At 33.6% G+C, this 16,975-nt stretch overlaps 1 protein-coding gene across 1 annotated transcript in view; it reads left to right on the top strand.

The window, feature by feature from the left end:
• GPR149 (G protein-coupled receptor 149) overlaps positions 1–16,975 on the top strand; it is a 95,248-nt gene that overhangs the window by 1,957 nt on the left and 76,316 nt on the right. The window contains exons 2-3 of the mRNA NM_001038705.3: positions 526–718; positions 6,747–7,195. Coding sequence (NP_001033794.1) covers positions 526–718; positions 6,747–7,195 — 642 coding nt within the window. The remainder of the gene's footprint in view (positions 1–525; positions 719–6,746; positions 7,196–16,975) is intronic.

The raw sequence follows: 16,975 nt of genomic DNA, 5'->3' as shown, positions 1-16,975 counted from the left end.
GAGAGGACGACGCCCATCTCCAGCAGGGCGGGATAGAGGGGAGGAGAGATCAGTTGTGGAGGGAGAAGACAGGGAACAAAACAGGCTTTTGTTCCTCCTTCCAGGAGGAAGCCGATTAAGAGGTGGCAGAGTGGCGCCCCACTGTGACGAGCGCGCATGGGCGGAGGTGAGGGTCCAGGGAGGCGACAAAGGCCATTCGGAGAATCAGATGCGGGTTTCACGGACGCCTGTTTCCTAGCTAGCGTCCCCCACGTTGTAGACTGTGCCTTTCTGGTGGAGTCTTGAATAGGCAGCGGGCGCAGATCCGGCACTCAAAAGCTGAAACCCCTCCCAACCCTGGGGGTGTGCCCCGCCGTTCCCAGGAGCCCATCACCAAGGACAGGGAGCCAGCTCCGTAGCAGAGGTCCCCGCTGTCCATCAGGAGAAGGAACTGGAAAGGGAACTGAGGCAGCGTGCGTGGAGAAAAGGCTTGAGAAGTACAAAGTATAATTTTAGGTTAGGTCTGAAGTTCTCTTGCCCTTGCAGATGCACATGGTGGTCCAGAACGTCGTGGGGTTTCAGAGCCTTCCCTTGGAGACATTCAGCTTTCTACTTACCCTGCTGGCCACCACTGTAACCCCAGTGTTTGTCTTGTCCAAACGCTGGACCCACTTGCCCTGTGGCTGCATCATCAACTGCAGGCAGAACGCATATGCAGTGGCGTCCGATGGGAAAAAAAGTAAGTCCTCAACACTGCAGTGATTGGCAGCAATATGCATTAGGTGACTTTCAGAAAAGTGGTCTATTAACAAAGTTGCCTCAGTAGGGGATGGAGAGTCCAAGGATAAATGTCAGTGGTAAATAGTGAGAAGAAATTATAACATGAAACAATCACTACAACAGTTTGGGGGTAGATTTTAAATTCAGCTGGTTTTGAAAAACCCCATGAAGTGCCTGTGGTACTGAATAATTATTTTAGGTAGAAAAAAAAAAGGGAAGACTAGGATTCATTCAGCACACCATGTCAACAAAGGCACTTAGATGATACATTCACCATAGTTCTTAGTCCAGAATAGAAAATATATTCCCCTCCCAAGTCTAGAATGAGATGCAGCATTGCTATAAGAAGCTTGCATTTGAAAAAGGATTATTAACCCTCTGAAAGGAGTTGAAAACTCATTACATTATAACATTATTATGCAATGGAACAGTAAAGAAAGGCATTTTTGTTGTTTTACTGCTAGTATTCTTCCAGGGTTTTGGAAAGTTTTCAGAGTAAGGAATCAGAGTGCTTGAAAACAGTTCCAAAACAAATTGTAAGTGTAGGCCTCTCTCTGTCTCACACACACACACACACACACACACACACACACACACACACACGCCCTGGTCCAAACATAAAAACAAACAAAACCCTCAGTTTAAAAAAAAAAGACACAAGTGACAGTTTGTTACTGTGTGTTCATGTATGGATCTAGCCAAGTTATTTACTTAAAGAAGATTCTGTGGTCTGAAGAGTACACCTAGAATGAGAGTGGAAAGCAGGGTCCCTTCCAGAACTCCCTACAGTGTAATTGTTCCCATATGCTAAGACAAGAAAAGTGTTGAGGAATGAGCTGTATATTTTGACTCTGCCAGGAAGAAAAAGGAGATTATTGTATTATTCTAGACAAAATATAGGATGTTCTATCACTTAATTAATCTGAGAATGCATTAGTGTATGCTGCATTAACTGTCCTATTAATTGTCCTTTGCTCAGAGTATGCAAGTATATTATTCTTTAACAGAGATGAAGGTTAAATTTAAACAGTCCATCTCAGGCTATTTTAGGGTTGCAAAATCTAGAGGATATCAAAGTATACTCTGCCATCAATTCAACGACAAAGTTATTTTATATAATTAGCCATGAACTGGCCATTTTTCCTATGTCATAGTGATGGCATTTAATATTTAGAATGTCTAGATATTTTTCAAATTACCAGAAAATTTTTTATTGTTAAGAATGCCATTAAGTTTTATTAGTAGTAGATGGCAGATGCATTTGTCTTTAAAATAACCTTAGAACTTATAATAATGATGTGTCTCTAAAGATTAATATCCAGAACAACAGTGACAGAGAAAATTAATAATAAACCCTTATGGGCCACTTATAAAAACATATAACATAAAGGAAACAATTCACAAACCTCAAAACTCTAACATTCTAATAAATCTTAGCATTTTGCCACTAAACTAGTGAACGAGCCCGGTCTTACAACATCTAAAATTGTGAGAAGGATGGTCTAGTGCCAGTGAAAATGAAAAGTCATAATGAATTGGTTGAAGGCAGTCATTTTTAAGAAGTGGGGACCACCCATCTCAGAGCTGAAAACAAAGCAAACAACAGACTTATTCTTGTAAATGACCTATGAAATATTCTACTTTCTGTACTGCACAGACAGAAGAGTCTTACGGCAGGCTAGCAGAATCAACAGTCACACTCATATCACAGGTTTGAAATTAAAAATATGTCTTTCGAGATCAAAATAATATTTTTTTCTAAAATTACCATTGCTTTTATTTGTGTTTATTTTAAAATTCCAAAGAAAGACTTGAAATATGAAGGCTTATGAAAAAGAAGCATGGCTTCACAAATAAAACATTGTGAGAAACTTTAGCTTAAGATGCTTATAGTTCAAATGACTCCATTCCCTCTTATGATCCAGGCTGTGATATCAGAAAATTCTGATAATAACAATGATGTGTTTCTACTGTCTGAGAAGCCACCATCAATTTTCCTATTGATAGTGTAACACAACAAAATTTTAAAACCCCAAAGGTAGCACATGCTTAGGTGGGCCAGGTGGTTGATCAGCTAGAGTATCTTAATTCTTTGATGGTTCGAGTTTTATGTTTAAACTTTTTGTCCATAACAAACTAAGATTCCCTCTCTTTACATCCTTTATCAGTCAGTGAACTTCAGAAGCAAGAGAGAGAAAATATTTTTTCCTAACATATTTATCATAGGTTAATGTTGAAGATGTAAATATAATTATACATCTCAACTTCACTAAATGGGAACTGAGAGAAGTGCAACCAGAAAATGAATGTGAGCAGTGGAAAATAATTTGCAGAAATAATAATCCTCTCCTGTTTCCAACAAGAATCTGTACTACTAGTGTCTCAAAAGTGTTTTTTTGTTGTTGTTGTTGTTTTGTTTTGTTTTGTTTTGCTTCTCAAATGATTTTAACATAGAGGTCTCAGGCAGTAGACACACTGTTTGGATATGGCTTTCAGACTCATTTTGTTTGCCTGACATGACGTTTTTTAAATTAAACAGCTAAATGTCAAACACATTGTATAAAAAACAGATTTTTGGTCTTTTTTTTTTTTTGACAAAATGATAGTATCTGGTAAGTGACATTACTCCGAAAAATGATTTGTTTTTATAAGTGGATGTAATTACTCACATCTAAAATTGTAATTGGCAAGATGTGACTAAAAGCAGAAGACTAGAGCTAATTCATATTTTATCAAGGATTTTGGAAGAATAAAGATTTTGCTTTTAAGAACAAAAATTATATTTATTTTTAAGATGTTTAGTATAAATTTCAAAAGATTCTAGACAATATTCTGATGGCTTTTAAGTTTCTTGCAAATTATTAATCAGTGAAAGATCTCTATCTTTCACAGACACACACACGAAATACAAAAAACAGTTTTTAAAAAATCTCAACTATGTATTTTTTTAGTGATATAAAAGTAGGAGTCAGGAACTGTAGCACTGTCAAGGCCTTCCTCCTATAAATAAATCAATATTATAAAGATACCATTTTTTTGAAATCATATGTTATTCAGCTAGCATCATTGAGTCAAGGCTAACCTAACAAACCATTCCTATCACACCAAGCATGATTCCTACAGGTTGCTTCATTCATTCATTAATTCACTCACTCAATAAATAAATATTTATTAGGGAAAAAGTCACTATGTGTCTAGCACTGTGCTGCATGTTCAGTAAGGAACAGAAATTCCCAACCCATGACCCATGAGCTGAATTTGGTTCAAAGATCTGGTGTTTAACCAATTTTTATTGTTACTTAAAACTAATTTTAATTATGGACCGAAATTTTAAGATCAGGATATTTTACATCAAGTCTATGAACGTGGTTTGTCTGAAAAATTAGAATTATTGACAACACAACCCCTAATCTCCCCACAACTGGCTGGAGCTGAGAATCCTCCTTAGATGGAGGAAGAACTTTCCCATTTGCCTTTGTTAATAATTAAAGCATAGGAGATATACCTAATGTAAATGACGAGTTAATGGGTGCAGCACACCAACATGGCACATGTATACATATGTAACAAATCTGCACGTTGTGCACATGTACCCTAGAACTTAAAGTATAATAATAATAAAAAATAATAATAATAATTAATGTTACCTAACTGGCCCCATAGACACTTTTTATTTTATATTTTTGGTTCATTTTTTAAAAAGACCTAATCTTTACCCTCAAAGAACTTAAAAATGATTAGTTTTGACTCTGATTCTCATATTTTCTTCAACCTAATTTTGATTATTAACTATGTTGTTTTAATTTGTTTTTATAGGGATTCGCCCCCTTACAACCAGCCTCTCATCTTACATTGTCAACTTTATGATACTGTTATAACCTATTATCTCAAGTTCAGGTACATTAGTTACTTCAGGCAGAATTTGCCATTTAAGTGATAAGTCACTAACAAGAAATGTTTCCATTGATTACACTTCATAATTACTGTATTTCCTCTGACTTAAAAACAGCACATTGTGTAATTCTGCTTCCATTAACATAATTCTTTCATGGGTCTGATTAGCAAGAAAACAATTTCAAATAAAGACAACTCCAATTCTGAAAACAGCTAGCTTTAAATTCATATCGTTTTACCTGTAAGCAATCTTCAGTAGCTTTCGTCTGTCACCCCCCGTTTTCTCCAGTGTAAAATAGAATCAATACGTTTTTTATTATGTAGGGTTGTTGTGTGTTAAATGAGATAATCGATGTGCAAAATGGCCTCAGAATGTTCTATCACATCATGGTCTCTTGATAATTCTCCTTTCTTTTCATAGCCTACCTCACACTGCCCCTTGTCCCTTGTGACATGGAGGTGAAGTCTCCTTTAACACATTCTGCACACTCCTTCAAAAACATTACTAATTTTTGCTTTATATATTTGAGATTACAATGTGCAACTAATAAAATTATAGTCATAGACATCAATTTTATCATGTTATATCACAAAATTGGGATTTTATGACAGCATTTGTTTTCTTAATGGCCTTGAAATGACAATTTGTCACTTTATATCTTTTTTGGAGAACAATAGAAACCCATCAATAATTTAAACATCCTTTTAGTTCCTTCACCTTTCACATTCTTAAAGCAAGTTAAACAGTATAACTTAATTTTACTTGACTATGTTACTAGAAAAGGTCAGTAAAAATATAAATGAGACAGTATATAAAATATGAACATCTGTTTCTACTTCTATTTTTTCTTTGAATCAAACTTGTTCTTGTTTGTGTTCTGGCTCAAACAACAATGAATGATACTAATAAATTCTATTTTTCAGTCAACAGAATTGGTTTATAAATCTTAGATTCTGAGAAACATTTCAGTAATAGAATCAGCATATGAATGACACTCGGGTATATTGCAAAATGGATCAAATTTTACTTATCTTTTCCATAGAAAGATTATAGCTTTTCATACATTTTTTTCTATCGAAGATAGCTAAATGTCTCAGTATAAAACACAGAGCTATCAAAGTAGAAAATATGTTTGAAACAAACCATGTTTTGACAGATGAAAGCAAAAACATTAAATTATATCTTGTCTACCACCTTGATATAACTTCATTCTTAATATATAAAACTTATCTAGCATTTAATGACATTCAACATAAAAATTGTATCACTTTCTGTCACTTTCTTGCTTTTTATTCTAAGATTTTGCATCACTCCACCAACTAATAGTACTATAATTATTATTTCATCATATTTCACCTGATTTAAATCATAAAAAGTTTTATGCATTCCTGCTAAACTCTTCTTGTAATAATCAGCTTTATAGACATTGTAAAGTGCTTCAATTTACAAAAAATATTAATCCATCTAATTTTTACCAGTTCTTTTCACATTTATTTGTATCAGAAATGTACATGTTATTTTTTAAAATTTAAAAGCTGTTTTGCAGTATAGTCTAATTTTTAATGTATGCACTTATAGACATATAAATGACAAAAAATTATATACCAAAATATTTTAAGAAGTTATATTTATTGGTGGTATTCTTAGCTGAATAACTCACATAATATTAAGGCTACTTAATAATTAATTTCTAGCAAAATAAAATTTATAAATAATATCTCTTATCCCAAAATATAAGGAAATGTGCAAAATCATTGGTAGACTAAGAAAAGCTAAAACAATGTATTTGAGAATTTCCTAATGTATGGCTAAGTTTTTGTTATGTAAGGCTTCTTTAGAGACTGAAAGAGTTTTTAAGATTGTATGTATTTAAAGACCATCATTTTGTAAATGAGAAAAATTAGGCACAGGGTGGAAAGATAATTTTCTGAGGCATAATTTCTTTGCATAACTGACAAAAAGTAAATGAAGATAGTTTTAAAATGTATAATAATCAAGTTGAATGCGCTTTCTATTTTTATTTGCTATATATATACAATGTTGTCTTTATCTACCTTACTAGCCATAAACTGTTGTTTTTATTTTTACTCAGTCAAGAGAAAAGGCTTTGAATTCAATCTATCATTCCAAAAAAGTTATGGGATTTATAAAATAGCACATGAAGATTACTATGATGATGATGAAAATTCCATATTCTATCACAACCTGATGAACTCTGAGTGTGAAACTACAAAAGACCCTCAGAGAGACAACCGTAACATCTTCAATGCTATAAAAGTAGAAATCAGCACCACGCCCTCTCTGGACAGCTCCACACAAAGAGGCATCAACAAATGCACAAATACTGATATTACAGAAGCTAAACAGGATTCCAACAACAAAAAGGATGCGTTTTCTGACAAAACAGGAGGTGATATTAACTATGAAGAAACTACCTTTTCTGAAGGGCCAGAAAGAAGACTGTCTCATGAAGAGAGTCAGAAACCAGATCTTTCAGACTGGGAGTGGTGTAGGAGTAAATCAGAAAGAACCCCTCGTCAGGTACAGTAAAAGTTGTTCTTGCTGTTAAATTGAAAGTGATACTAAATATGATAGTCATGAAAAACATTATCAGTTGTTTGTTTTATTCAATCAAGCCCAACATTAACTTCACTTGCCTCAATTAATTTCCATGCTATTTAATTTTATTTCAAGGTCTCTTTTGAAGGACTTTTTAATTCTTTTAATCAGTTTAAAATCTATACATTTTATAATAGGAAGAGTTAAACAGGCTCTTTAAGAAGGGTAGGGAATTCTTTTTTAACCTCAAGTAACCTGCATAAATTCAGATTAGATTCGCAGAACTCATGGTCCAAATTAATTTAATTTGTATATTTTATTTTTCCCTCCTCCATTCCAAAGGTATACCTTAAGTCTCCAAGGGAAGTTTTATTTTTTCATGTAAAGGCAAATATTTATACAACTAGCAGTGAGAAGTGTTGTTCTGTTGAAAGTATATTAGGCAGCTTGCCTATCAGTCTTACTAGAACTAATCCCTCCAGTACCCAGCAGAAAAAAAATATTACAGAATACATTCTCGTGAGCATTTGCAAGCCCTTACGAATGTTCCATCTCCTTAAATATGGAAGAATCATTTTATAATATTTTATAAAACTAAAAGAATTTGCACATGAATTTCTCATCCTTTCCTAGATCTCAGCCTTCCAAAAATGGTGAGGGATCCTTCTTATTCATTGAAATGGCAGTGTGATATTGATATGAGATTTTTTCTTTCCCCAAGCTCTCATATGTGATAATCAAGTTGCCCTTGCTTTCCACACTATTGATTTCCTAGGAAAAAGGAGTCTTTTTTTCTACATGAGTTAATGGAAATCAGAATCTACATGCACCTAATCTCTGGAATCAAAAGCATTATTTTAGAAATAAATACACTGCTAGGAGTAATGTACTCATTGATCAAAAGTATGATCATATAACACCAACTATAAATATGAGCAGAATAATTTGAGATTTTCTTTATTCTCATTGATTAAATAAAACTACTAGTCTCCTGATACCATTGTTTTAAAAGTGAGTTGAATAGTAAAATAAGGTGTACAAAATATATTATACAAAGAGACAATTGTGCATATGTTTAGAGTTTAGAAATCAAAGGAAAATATCACTAAATATTTGTCATAAATTAAATAGTACAGTAAAAGGTGGAGGCCAAAGAACACAACGCTCCATATGTTTAGGAAAAATGTGTTTCCCTAGCTAAGAGGGGAATTCCAACACTTTCATCGCCAATTTGCTCCTGAATAATGTAAACCTCTTAGTGTTGCACTTAGAAATTGTTAAGTTATATTCATAATGAAGCGCATATATGTGTGTGTGTGTCCATCCCAATAACTTGTAACTACCTTCTGTGCTAGTCACCTATATCATCCTCGTGATTACCCCTTACAGATTACAGCTATCTTGAATCTTACTCATATTTTTTGTTGTATTCTTCTATCACAAATGTATGTACTTCTAACATACTATATTGTTTAGCTTTGCTAATTTTGAGCCTTCTAAAGATGGTATCATGCTATATATAGTCTTCTGGGGCCTGCTTTTGTTCATTTAACATGACTAAGCTCAATTTTCTTATTTATTTCATCAAAACCATGGAAATTATTATCTAAAATACCACAACTTAACATCCTCATTTAAAAGCCTTGGTTATAGTTTGGAAAGTAGGGTCAAATAACTATAACTAGAAACGTGAAAGAATCAGACACTGCTTGCACATAAGTACATTGTCCTGGGAGAATGATGAAGAACAACTTACCCACAATCTTCTTTAAATCGAAAATTAAAATGATTTATGTAAAGTATAAAACTTTGATCAATCCAGGTATCTTTCAGCTATAAATATTGACTTGTTAAATATAGATATTTAAACAACTGTGATGATCAAGTCTTTCAGGAAACTTCTCTGAAATGGTCGCTATGAAAAATAATGATTAGTGGTAAAAGATGGATAATACAATATTCTGGAAAGGTAAAACTTTTTATTTCCAGGGACTAATTAAAATTAAATAAAATACTATCATAAATTTTAAAACAACAGGAAGAAATCCTAAACCACAGACTGACATTTTTTGTATAACCTTCCCTTAGTAAAAGTACCTGTGGTCTTTAAGGTTAGCCTTAAACACAAATACAAAATTTTAAATTAAAAAGGTTCTTTTTTTTTGAAAGTCAAAGTTGAATAGTGACCTCTTTTTTATTATTATTATTATACTTTAAGTTTTAAGGTACATGTGCACATTGTGCAGGTTAGTTACATATGTATACATGTGCCATGCTGGTGCGCTGCACCCACTAACTCGTCATCTAGCATTAGGTATATCTCCCAGTGCTATCCCTCTCCCCTCCCCCCACCCCACAACAGTCCCCAGAGTGTGATGTTCCCCTTCCTGTGTCCATGTGATCTCATTGTTCAATTCCCACCTATGAGTGAGAATATGCAGTGTTTGGTTTTTTGTTCTTGAGATAGTTTACTGAGAACGATGATTTCCAATTTCATCCATGTCCCTACAAAGGACATGAACTCATCATTTTTTATGGCTGCATAGTATTCCATGGTGTATATGTGCCACATTTTCTTAATCCAGTCTATCATTGTTGGGCATTTGGGTTGGTTCCAAGTCTTTGCTATTGTGAATAATGCCACAATAAACATACCTGTGCATGTGTCTTTATAGCAGCATGATTTATAGTCCTTTGGGTATATACCCAGTAATGGGATGGCTGGGTCAAATGGTATTTCTAGTTCTAGATCCCTGAGGAATCGCCACACTGACTTCCACAATGGTTGAACTAGTTTACAGTCCCACCAACAGTGTAAAAGTGTTCCTATTTCTCCACATCCTCTCCAGCACCTGTTGTTTCCTGACTTTTTAATGATTGCCATTCTAACTGGTGTGAGATGGTATCTCATCGTGGTTTTGATTTGCATTTCTCTGATGGCCAGTGATGATGAGCATTTTTTCATGTGTCTTTTGGCTGCATAAATGTCTTCTTTTGAGAAGTGTCTGTTCATGTCCTTCGCCCACTTTTTGATGGGGTTGTTTGTTTTTTTCTTGTAAATTTGTTTACAAAATTCTACAAAACATTCTAAATCACAAAGTTTAAAATGTTCACATTGTAATTTAAAATGCTAGCAAAAACACATTTAGGACTGAAAACCTTATGAGGACTTTTCCTAAGACTAAAACAACTTTTAATTCTTACCCTTTTCTTCAGCAGCAAATATTACATGGAAGTGAATGATGACTTAGAAAGGACTTTCATTTTTATCTTTTTCTTCCCAGTGCCGTTTTTTGCTCTCAAAGCAATGTTAACATATGTATCGTATATAGTGATGCATTAAACTGTGTGGTAGACACAGCAGTTACTCTATAAAAACACTACTTCTTTTGATTGTTTTATGGTTGTACTTTCAAACACTTAGGCTCAATTTATCAGTTTGTATCTAATGGTACTACATTTAATAGTAGGTGTTCTCAGGATATTTTAAAAGCAGATTTGATTTTAAACATATTTAGTGAGCTCTCTTTTATTTCTACAATATGCTTTTTTTTAATTAAAGTTTATGTTAACAATTTTCAGAATATTTTCTTGGAAGTCCTGGTAGGAGTGAGAATATCATCAAATTAAGGTTAAGGTGTAGAAATTATGGCAATACAATGGCTTCAGTAGATTTAAATGTGATCCCATAAAATTTACAAGAATTGAAGGTATTCATAAGACTGAAATTCAATTTAAACATGGCCACACAATTACTTCTTTTTGAACCCCTAATAAGTAGAAATCTAAGCAGTTTACCATTTTGAAAGTTCAGAAGAAATAGTAAGAAACGTCAGAGTTTTTTAGTTAGAAAGTCTTAATGTGATAGCCACCAGTATGACTCTTTCTGAAATGAAATGATAATTTTCTAGAACCCCACATTTTGTCATCTATGAATAAAGAAAATTGGACTTATAAAATAATTGGCTGGCTTGTGGGTGATCACTCTATTTTCTCTTTTAATACCAAGTTCATAAAATTACCCTGGATTCCATTTTCTTTCCTTTTAATGTTTTGTTTTAGAGTTCCAGAAACTCACTCATTTATTTTTGTGAATCAAAAACATAGATATCCTGAAACTTTTAATCTATTTACAATCCTATCATTATAGGATCTGTAAGGTGCAAGGTCCTCCATTTTGCCAGTAGGGTGTTTTAAAAACAGATTCTGAAATATTCCCTCTCAAATGAGAGACAAAGCAGAGGGAGGTAATTGTGTTTAAATTTACTACATAACCACTTAGCTTAAAGGATAAATAAGGCCAACAAGAACTAATTTTAAAGTCGCCTGAGAATCGAGGAAATTTTATTTTCATTTTAAGGAAAATGTTTTAGCTCTCTAAAAAGAGTTTTCTAAAGTTATGTTGTGTCAGTTGTTAACAGAGTTTAGTAGCAGCGTTGGTTTCTATAGTATTTTTAAAATATTATTATTTATTTAAGTAATTTTCATAGGAAACTACAGAATCCAAAAGCCAGCTAGACTATTTTGAGCTCTTTAGATCAGAGCTTCTCAAGTTTTAATGTACATACGAGTCAAATGGGTATCTTATTAAAATGCAGATTTTGATTGATTAGGTATGAGATGGGATCCAAGATTCTCCATTCCTAATAAGCTTCCAGATGATTTCTGTACAAACCAAGGTCCCACCTCAGACCTATAATCAAAATCCCCCAGTGGGCTAATATGCACATTAAAAATTTTAAAGTGCTGCTTTAGATTCTAATGGCTAGAGAATGCGCATGAGTTTGAAGTGCAGGGCAAAATTAATTCTTTCTATTTAATATACGACCCATAAAGTATAAGGCTGGAAGAAAATACTCAATACGGGTATCTTTTTCCTCTTCCTAAAAACTGTGCATCTTTTCTTTTCACTTTAAAAAATAAACTATTTAAAAAACGAGAACAGTGTATTGCTGTTTTCTGTTATATTATTAGCTTAAAATGAAGATGCCTAAACTTGTCTCTGAGTAATTTCTGACATTTTAACTGAAATGACCATACTAGAAAAAATCCACTTAAAACCTATTTATAGCCTCCACCCAGTCATCTTAACAAAAATAATCATCTGGAATATACTTTATTTTTGACTACATCCATTTGTTTGAAGTGCTTAGTTTATTACTAGCTGTTCAGAAAATTGAAAATTTGCTACACTGCCTAGTTTTTTAAAAGTACAAACTTTATTGTTTTTATAATTATTAAACTAACTTATAATTATTGTAGAAAATCTAGAAATTGCCGATAAGCAAAGAAAAAACTCACTTCCACCTACCCAGAGTTAACCACTGTTTACATTTTGTTGTATAAAATATCTGGCTGTTTTCTATGCATATATTTTTACTTTTGACAAAAACATACAAACCAAAAAAAGTCCTGCTGCATGTACTGCATGCGCTCTGCTTTTCTCCACTTCACAGCATAACTTTAACCTCAATTTAATTGTTTCAGCCCTTTGTGTCATTATCTGGTATAGTTTAGAGTGGCTATTTGAAGTGTGGCTGAAAATTCATCCATGAATATAAATTTGTTCTCAAGTATATAAAATCTTGGAAGTTGAACCTAAGGGAATTTTATTCTAAACTACTTCAGATATTTCATAGTACATTTTGTGATCTTCACAGCATGCATCATTTGCTGCAATGAGTAAAATAGCTCTAACTGCTCACGTTCTACAAATTGAAGGGAATTAGCATTGGATCAAAGCTTGTGTGGAATCATATAATTTATCTGTTAGCTAAGAATTCTGTTAACATTCTCATAAAAGTCTCCTGGCTTAAGAAACCTAAAAGATTGTGTACTGAAATGACCCAGCTGTGGCTTAAATCTCTTCTTGGTTACTCTCTACTTGAACTCAAGTGACTAGGAACTCACTACATTTTTTAAACTTTTTATTGTGAACTAATACATGACCTACAAAACAGTTGCAAAAAAATAGTACAGAGTTTCAATATATCTTAATTCAGTTTCCACTAATGTAAAGTTACACTGTACAATGCAATTATCAAGAAATTAATAACTAATCTCTAAATTTTATTTCAGCTTTACCAATTGTTCTCTTTCTGGTTCTGGATCTAATCCCTGATGATAAATCGTACTTGTTTTTATGTCTCCTTACCTCCAATTTGTAACAGCTTCTCAGTCTTTCTTTGTTTCGCAGGACGTTTACTCTTTTGAAGACTACTGGCCAATTTTGTTTTTTATTTTTGGAATACCCCTCAATTAGTAATTGTCTTATTTTTCAATTGACAGAATTAAAGACAAGAATATCACAAAAGTGATGTTCGTCTTTTCTAGTGCATCATCTCAAAAGGTACATGATGTTGATACATCTTATGATGGTGATGTGAACTTTGATCCCTTCATAAAATTGGTGTCTGCCAGATTTCTCTATGTAAAGTTTCTATTTTTCCCCCTTGTAATTTTTAAGTGTCTTGTGGAGAGACATTTTGAGGTTATGAAGATATTATGCTTCATATCACAACTTGCCAACTAACTTTAGCATGCACTGATGAATCTTACCTGCAACAATTATTATGCGATGGTAATTTTCTATTTCTACGATTCTTCTTTTGGTTTCATTCTTTGTATATTATGAATAATGTGGTGATAAACATTTTTATACATGATTCCTGATGCACATAAACACATTTTATTTATTTTTTTGTTTTTTTATTTCAATAGGTTTTTAGGGAACAGGTGGTATTTGGTTACATGAATAAGTCCTTTAGTGGTGATTTCTGAGATTTTGGTGCACCCATCACCCGAGTAGTGTACACTGTACCCAATGTGCAGTCTTTTAGCCCTAGCTAGCCCAACCCTTTCCCCTGAGTGTCCAAAGTCCAATGTATCATTCTTACACCTTTGCATCCTCATGGCTTAACTCACACATATGAATGAGAACGTATGATGTTTGATTTTTCATTCCTGAGTTGCTTCACTTAGAATAATAGTCTCTAATTCCATGCAGGTTGCTGTGAATGCCATTATTTTGTTCCTTTTTATGGCTGAGTAGTATTCCATGTATATATATATATATATACTACAATTTCTTTATCAACTCGTTGATTGTTGGGCTTTTGGGCCAGTTCCATATTTTTGAGATTACAAATTCTGCTGTGATAAACATGCATGTGCAAGTATCTTTTTCATATAATGACTCCTTTTCCTCTGGGTAGATACCTTCTAGTGAGATTGCTGGATCAAATGGTATATCACTTTTAGTTCTGCAAGGAATCTCCACACTGTTTTCTATAGTGGTTGTACTAGTTTACATTACCACCAACAGTGTAAAAGTGTTCCCTTTTTACCACATCCCTGTCAACATCTATTTTTTTTTTTATTTTATAATCATGGCCATTCTTGCAAATGTGAGGTGGCATTGCATTGTGATTTAGATTTGCATTTCCCTGATCATTAGTGGTGTTGAGCATTTTTCTATATGCTTCTGGCCATTTGTATATCCTCTTTTGAGAATTGTCTATTCAAATCCTTAGCCCACTTTTTGGTAGGATTGTTTGTTTTTTCCTTGATGACCTATTTGAGTTCTTTGTAGATTCTAGATATCACTCTTTTGTCTGATGTATAGATTATAAAGATTTTTTTCCCATGCTGTGGCTTGTCTGTTAACTCTGCTGATTATTTCCTTCACTGTGCAGAAGTTTTTTAGCTTACTTAAGTCCCATCTATTTATCTTTATTTTTGTTGCATTTGCTTTTGGGTTCTTGGTCATTAAGACTTTGCCTAACCCAATGTCTAGAAGGGTTTTGCCAATTTTATCCTATAGAATATTTATGGCTTCAGGTCTTAGATTTAAGTCTTGATCCATCTTGAGTTGATTTTTGTGTAAGATGAAAGATGAGGATCCAGTTTCTTTCTTCTACATGTGGTTTGCCAATTATCCCAGCACCATTTGTTGAATAGGGTATCTTTTCCCCACTTTATGTTTTTGTTTTCTTTGTCAAAGATGAGTTGACTATAAGTATTTGGTTTTATTTCTGGGTTCCCTATTCTGTTCCATTCGTCTATGTGCCTATTTTTATACCAGTACCATGCTATTTTGATGACTATGGCCTTGTAATATAGTTTGAATTTTGGAAATGTAATGCCTCCAGATTTGTTCTCTTTGCTTAGTCTTGCTTTGGCTATGTGGGCTCTTTTTTGGTTATACAAGAATTTTAGGATTGTTTTTCTAGTTCTGTGAAGGAATGATGGTGGTGTTTTGATGAGAATTGCATTGAATTTGTAGATTTCCTTTGGCAGTATGGTCATTTTCACAAAATTGATTCTACCCATACATGAGCATGGGATGTGCTTCCATTTGCTTGTGTCATCTATGATCTCTTTCAGCAGTGTTTGGTAGCTTTTCTTGTCTTTCACCTCTCAGTATTTTATTGTCTTTGCAGCTGTTGTGAAAGGGGTTGAGTTCTAGGTTTGATTCTCAGCTTGGTTTCTGTTGGTGTATAGCAGAGCTACTGATTTGTGAACATTAATTTGTATCCTGAAACTTTGCAGAATTTATTTACCAGTTCTAGGAGCTTTTTAGATGAGTCGTTAGGGTTTTCCAGGATCATCGCAAACAGCAACAGTTTGACTTCCTCTGTGCCAATTTGCCCTTTTTTCCTTTCTCTTGTCTGATTGCTTGCCTAGGACTTCTATGTTGAACAGAAGTGATGAAAGTGGGCATCCTTGTCTTGTTCCACGTCTCAGGGGTATGCTTTTTACTTTTCCCTGTTCAGTATAATGTTGGCTGTGGATTTGTCATAGATGGCTTTTATTACCTTAGGATATGTCCCTTCTATGCTGATTTTGCTGAGGGTTTTAATCATAAAGAGATGCTGGACTTTTGTCAAATGCTTTTTCTGCATCTATTGAGATGATTATGTGATTTTTGTTTTTAATTCTGTTTATGTGGTGTATTACATTTATGGACTTACATATGTTAAACCATTCCTGCATTCCTGGTATGAAACCCACTTGATCATGGTGGATTCTCTTTTTGATATGCTGTTGGATTCAGTTAGCTAGTATTTTGTTGAGGATTTTTGCATCTATGTTCACCAGGGATACTAGTCCATAGTTTTCTTTATTTGTTATGTCCTTCCCTGGTATTGGTATTAGAATGATACTGGCTTCCTAGAATGATTTAGGAAGAACTCTCTCTTTCTCTATCTTTTGGAATAGTGTCAATAGGACTGGTACCAATTTTTCTTTGGATATCTGATAGAATTCATTTGTGAATTCGTCTGGTCCTGGACTTTTTTTGGTTGGCAAATTTTTAATTACTATTTTAATCTTGCTGCTTGTTATTGGTCTGTTTAAAGGTTCTATATCTTCCTGGTTTAATCTAGAAGGGTTGTATAATTCAGGGAATTTATTCATCTCCTCTAGGTTATCTAGTTTATGTGCATAAAGGCATTCACAGTAGCCTTGAATAATCTTCTGTATTTCTCTGGTATCATCTGTAATATTTCCCATTTCATTTGTAATTGAGCTTATTTGGATCTTCTCTCTTCTTTTCTTGATAAATCTCGCTAATGGTCTACAGATTTTATTTATCTTTTCAAAGAACCACCTATTTGTTTAATTTATCTTTTGTATTAATTTTTTTTGTTTGTTTCAATTTCATTTAGTTCTGCTCTGATATTTGTTATTTCTTTCCTTCTGCTGGGATTGGGTTTGAATTGTTCTTGTTTCACCAGTTCCATGAGGTGTGACCTCACATTG

This window comes from Homo sapiens, chromosome 3, assembly GCF_000001405.40.
Source record: "Homo sapiens chromosome 3, GRCh38.p14 Primary Assembly".
Taxonomy (NCBI): Eukaryota; Metazoa; Chordata; class Mammalia; order Primates; family Hominidae; genus Homo; species Homo sapiens.
This window is presented reverse-complemented; position numbering and strand designations above follow the sequence as displayed.